Below are 5,849 nucleotides of genomic sequence, written 5' to 3' on the forward strand. Positions count from 1 at the left end.
TACCCTATGTGAGTGACAGCTGTCAAAAAACCAGGTGTGGGGCCCTGGCTGTCTCTGTAACCGCATTGCAGTGGAGGCTGGAGCCCAGCAAACTCTTTACCAGCCCCAGGCTAGGGCTAGGAGGATCACCCTCGCACCTCACTCTTTGGTGCAGCCTGCAGGAAAGGAAGCCCTCTGTGAAGTGTATCACCCCAGCCTGCCGCGTTGCCAGAGGTGAGGGGAAAAGGGCGCCTGCCGATCGCCTTCTCCCTCTTGCTATCTCTTTTTCCTGAAGTCATAGGAGCCAGGCAGGAGGCTGGGGGTCTGGCAGGCTGGGTGATAGCTAGTTATCGACAGGTTGATGGCTGCCCCAGAAGACTGCCCGAGGACATCAAGGCGGAAGCCACTTCTGAGGCCCGCTGCTCCCAGAGAGCCGGCTGCCGGCATCTCTGCCCAGGGCTTGGCGCTTCCCCTCACCATCTCATTAATCCTGATTCACAGAAAAAGGCAGCAGGCAGGGGCCCTCTTAACAGGCCGAGCGGGCGACTGATTTGCCTTCACTGAAGACAATAGTGCCCAGGAGACCCGGCATTGCTGAATTATTCAAATCAGCCGTGGCAGGGAAATCTGAGGACACAGAGTGGCTGACATCCCCCGGCCCTTGCAAGCTGCCCTCCTTCCCTGCCCTGGGGTGCTGGTACCTGGCAGCCTGGGGTGGCCAGCACAGATCCCCTTGCCAGAGATGAGGGCTGCTCCCGACCTTCCCTCCTCCGTGGATGGAAGTTGAAATTGGTGTTGATCATCTCTAAGCACCTTGGAGCTCTAGTAATGGATCCAAAATGACATTTCCCACCTGCTGATCCCTGGAGGGACATTCTGACAAGGACTTCTGGATGAACAAGTGATGGGGCATGGGAAGATGAAGGCAGCAGGAGATGGCTGTTCTGCCAAGGTGTGTGTGTGTGTGCGTGTGTGTGTGCATGATTCAAAAAAAGCAGAGGATATCGGTTGAACCCTGGCTTGGCCAACCTTAGTTTTCTGCTCCTAGAAAAGAAACACAATGAATAGGCAGGTATCCCTGGCAAATGTGGAGATTCAGGAGCAAAACCACCCAGAGTCGGTGCTGACGCTGGGTGAAGACAGAGCAAACAGAAGTTTGAGAGGTCACGTGCAACAGACGTGAGCCCAGCATGGTGGTCTCCCAGTGGGGAGGGAGTCTTGGAGAGTATGAAGGGTAAACTGAGACCCAGAGAGGGGCAGGGACTTGCCCAAAGTTGTTAAGCAGTTTGTGGCCAAAATGGAATGAAAAGCCATGGTGTTCAGCTTGCAGTTGGAGGCTCTCTTTGTTAATAATACCTATCCCTGCCCAAGCACAGACACCTGAAGGCTTTTTAATATATTTCATTGCTAACTGTATGATAATCTCATGAGGCTGATACAACTAATATTCCCATTCTACTAATGAGGAAATTGAGGCTTGCAGAGATTCAGCCACTGGACAGGGTAGAAAGTGACAATCTGGGATTGGAAAGGTGGTCTGTCTTATGCTGAACCCTTAATTGCTGTGACTCAGTGGGAGGTCAGAGGCACCAGGACTCCAGATCGCTCCAAAACATCCCTCCTGGCCAAGGCTATAGTGTCAGCATGACCTCAGTTTGTGATGGCTTCCTGGGGGTAAGCATTGCCACTTACTTGTGTCCTCCATGGGAAGGAGCACACAGAGTTTTAGCCCTTCGCAGAAAGACTGACTTCAAAGCACCCTCAGCCATCCCAGGCATCTGAAAGGAGACCCCTGAGGAGGGGACCTCGAATGTTGGAAGGAAATTTATGAATGAAGAGGTTCGGAATCTCTGGGCACAAGATCCACCTCTTTGGGGGAAGCCAGTGGCGTCTTCTGTGTAAAGCTGCCATTGGCAGGACAACTTTCTCTAGGAGAGGCAGAAGCTGGGGGTGGTGGTGGGGTTAAACCAACCTTGCACATTGGTGGGAGGGGGCATGGGGTCAGTGTGTGAATAACAGCCTCTGCTTTTCTGCATCAGCCAAACAACAATAGAGTGGGAATGGCAACCTGTATTGAGGGTTCACCATGTGCTAAGCCCTTTCTTTATGTGTAGAAGCTCATTTAGTCCTCAAGACCATTTTATGGGGTCAGTATCTATGAGGTCAGCATCGTTATGTCCTTTTTGCAAAGGAAGAAAATGAGACGCAGAAAAGAAGACATTTAAGCCATTTACCCAGGACGCTGCTGCTGGGGTGAGTGTAAAGGAGCTGGGATTTGAAATCCAGGCTTCATAAACCACGTGGCCTCTAGGATATTGTGGCTAGGATTCCCTTCTCTGTTCAACTTGAAGTCCCTCTCGGCAGAGTGGTGTCCTTTTTCTCTGCCCATAGTGGCCCATTCCCGGGGTTGTGATCCATGCACGGGCATCCCCAGAAGGAGGCTTAGAAGCTCCTTGAAGCAGCTTAAATGCACCTTTGCCGTTGTGCCTCTACATGCCCTCTTCCTTTTCTGAGAACAACCAACTTCCTCAGGCCTTCGAATCATCTCTCATTTGGAATAATCACTGTCTGAATGGACGAGGTCTCCAGCATTTGTGTGGTGCGGCGCGGGCCTCCCAGGATCCTCCCTGCAGAAAAACGAAACGAAGAGAGATTTATCTCCTGGGTCAGATAAAGGTGACTAAATGCAAACTGGCCGATTCCTTTCGGCAAACAGTTCCCTGGGGAGGGCTCCTACAAGGAGGAGAAGAGCCAATCGATCCCGGAAATGCTTCGAGGTGACTTACAGGGAAGACTTAAAGGAAAAAGCCCTCGTGTCTTTACAGCCTCCGGCGACTCTTTCAGCCTTGTAAAACTGCCCGTACCAGCCCATAGAGCGAGGAAGGAGGGGGTCGGGGGAGCTTCTTCCTTACCATTGCTGCAAAGGTGGAACTCTGCAAAATTTGACCTCTGAGATCTCTAGCTGAGTCCTTCATTCATCTGTCAAGCATCTATTGAGTGCCTACTGTGTGCCTGCTGTGCACTTCGTATGCTCTATCCTGCTGAGTCCTCCAGATGACACCATCATTACCCCCATTTTCTAGCAGAGAAACTGAGGGTATCTGAAGGGAGGCAAACGTTTCTGGAGTCCTAAAGCAAGCAAGAGGGTAGGTCCTGAGATACGGATTTGCATTCACCAGCCTCCCTGGTTTGGTTTCCTTCCTGCATCACTCCCTCTGTCATCAGATCTGGTTCTCACCCAGCTTCATCTCCAAGTCTGGCTCAGGCTTGTTCTTCTCTATCTCTCTTCCTTTCTCCTTTCTGCTCTTAGACTCATAAGAAACCTTCCTTATAATCTGAGGAAACAGCCTGTGCATCTTGGAGACTGAGTTTCTTTTGGGATCCCCAGGTTCACACCAGCCTTTTCTCCCATAGTCATCCCGCCCTCATTTCATTAAGGTACCAGTAGCACCAGCTGGGAAGGGTAACTTGGCTTGCGGTCTGCAAACTTATTCTGGCCCTGCAAAAGGCCAAATAGTAAATACTTTAAGTTTTGTGGTGCATTGCGCTATTGGGGTGCCAAGACAATATGTAAATGAATGGGCATAGCTGTGTTCCAATAAAACTTTATTTACAAACACAGGTGGTTGGCGAGATTTGGCCCATAGGTTGTCATTTGTTGATCCTTGGGATAGAGGATAAAAGATCTGGTTTTGGGGTTTGCAGACCTGAGGTCTCCCCGCAGCCCACTTTTTTTTTTTTTTTACTTCCTTGCTGTGTTACCTTGGGCAAGTTGGTGCAGCTCTCTGAGCCCCGTTTCTTTTCTGTGGAATGAGATAATTATAGCACCTGCCGCCTGGGCTTTTGCTAAGTTTAAATGAAACCATGCAGTGGATTGCACATAGTCAGTGAGCAAACTGGTAGCTGTTATTTTATGACGAATGACTTTAAACCTTCTGAGGAAAGCAACCCCCCTTCCCTCATTTGGGGGTAAGGGAAGCTGATGTGCCAGTGTTCTGATATTTTGTGGTTCATTATGCTGTTAAGATTTCCATTCTTTTCAAGTTAATGCACTTGCATTTTAATGACTTAGGATGCAGAATCTGCCTCCTTTGGGATGGAACCAGCTGGCTGGCCTTTTGTGAGGGTGATAGTTGGTAAAACTCTGGACACCCCCATGATCCCTTTGAGTCTAACCTCTGGTTCCCTTTCCTGGCTCCAGAAGGACTGACTCAGTGGGTCTAGCATGACCACCAGTGATCCTCTGGTTGAGAGCTGATCACAAGTGGCCAATTAATCTATTACTTGCAGATACATTTTCCATTAGCAGTGGCGGAATCAATTAGTCAGCGTAATGAACTTGAGTCTGGGCAAACAGGAAGGAGAGGTTAACCCCTTGGTTTCCAAAGGAGGCTGGGATGGCAAGGGAGCGTGGAGAAGATCTGGAGAGAAATCGAGAGGCTGGATAGGGACAGAGGTTTGGGAACCACAGTCAAGCTTCCAGGTAGTAAGATGAGGTAGGTTGGACCCAAAGAGCTCTAGCTTAGAGCCAGGAAAAAATGGCTTCTCTAGTCATGTGGACATGACAGAGTCATTTTGAGCTCAGTTTCCTCCTCTGCAAATGGGGATCATAATTGTACACACCTCATAGGATTGTTGTGAGGAACAAATAAGACAAGTTGTATGAAATACATAGCCCCATGTTGGGAGCGGAAATTCTCAGTGAATGCTAATCTTTCTGCTACCCCTTTTTTTCTGCCTCACCACAAGCCACGAAGAGGTGAAAAAGAGACTTCTTGACTTAGAGCTAAAAATAGCAGAAACTTCTTACTAAAATTACTCTAGCTCAGATCCACATTCAAATGTGTTACAGAGGTCAGGACTCCAACAGGTGCCTTTACTGCAGGCCTTGTCAGGGACTTAAACTTCTGACATGTATCGTGACGCTCCACAAAGGATTGGAGCAAATTTCCCAGACGTATTAGAATGAAACAACATTCTTTTCCCATCTCAGAGCATTGCACAGGACTGTGAGTTTTATTGTTAAAATGGTAGGAAACGATGCATTCCCCAAATGCATCGTTTGGGGACCTCTGGTCCCCAAAGGTGGACCAGATAGAGTCCACCTTCTCCCAAAGCCCTCCCTGTCTATGCAAGCAACTTTCTCACTCTTATCAGTGTTGTTATATCACGTTGGTGCAAAAGAAATTGCAGTTCTTGCCATTACTTTCCATGGCAAAAACCGCAATTACTTTTGCACCAACATAATAGACTTGAATTAGGGTCTAGTTACCTGGTGCAGTAAGACCAGATATCCACACGGAGGTCTTGCAGTGGTGGAAAGAAAGGTGTTTATTTACCAGGTGCCAAGCAAGGAGGACCAGACGGCTAACGCTTATATCCTGACCTCCCGATGGCTTGCAGGTAAGTGTTTTTAAACGCAGGGGTAAATGTCGGGAGAAGCTATAGGCAAGATTGTAAATCCATACATGGAGGTTACACCTTGGTCTTGGCCAAAAAGGGCAGGATACCTTGAAGCAGAGGCTTACAGGTCATAGGTAGATTCAAAGACTATCTGATTTGTAACTGGTTAAGGAAGAGAAGCTTTGTTTAAAATTTGGGGTCAGCAGAGAAGAACATTAACTGGCTTTGGGGTTTGACTCTCTCCAGACTCCTCAGGAAGAAATTTAGAACAAAAAATGGGGGTCAGAGTTCAGCCATCAGCTCCCCCTTATCTGAGGTTTAGGTGACAGCAGAGCTGTTCAGTGGGGGTCATTGGTGGGGGTTCAGGGTTCTGGAAAACAACTCAGGGGCATATGTTAAGATGTTACTTTTAGTTTCTATAGGGGAATCAAACATCTGACTAACTTCCTTGGTTCCTGTCTTAGCCT

The 5,849-nt window shown here is 48.6% G+C and overlaps 1 annotated feature.

Moving 5' to 3' along the window:
- Positions 2,039-3,238: an enhancer, noted in NCBI's record as "CDK7 strongly-dependent group 2 enhancer chr22:27179387-27180586 (GRCh37/hg19 assembly coordinates)". NCBI's record gives its function as "activates an origin of replication core promoter dependent on BRD2, BRD4, P300/CBP, MED14 and CDK7 cofactors, with strong dependence on CDK7, by STARR-seq in HCT116 cells {active_cell/tissue: HCT116}" and the evidence as "EXISTENCE:reporter gene assay evidence [ECO:0000049][PMID:35650434]".

Source organism: Homo sapiens, chromosome 22, assembly GCF_000001405.40.
Source record: "Homo sapiens chromosome 22, GRCh38.p14 Primary Assembly".
In the NCBI taxonomy this organism is placed as follows: Eukaryota; Metazoa; Chordata; class Mammalia; order Primates; family Hominidae; genus Homo; species Homo sapiens.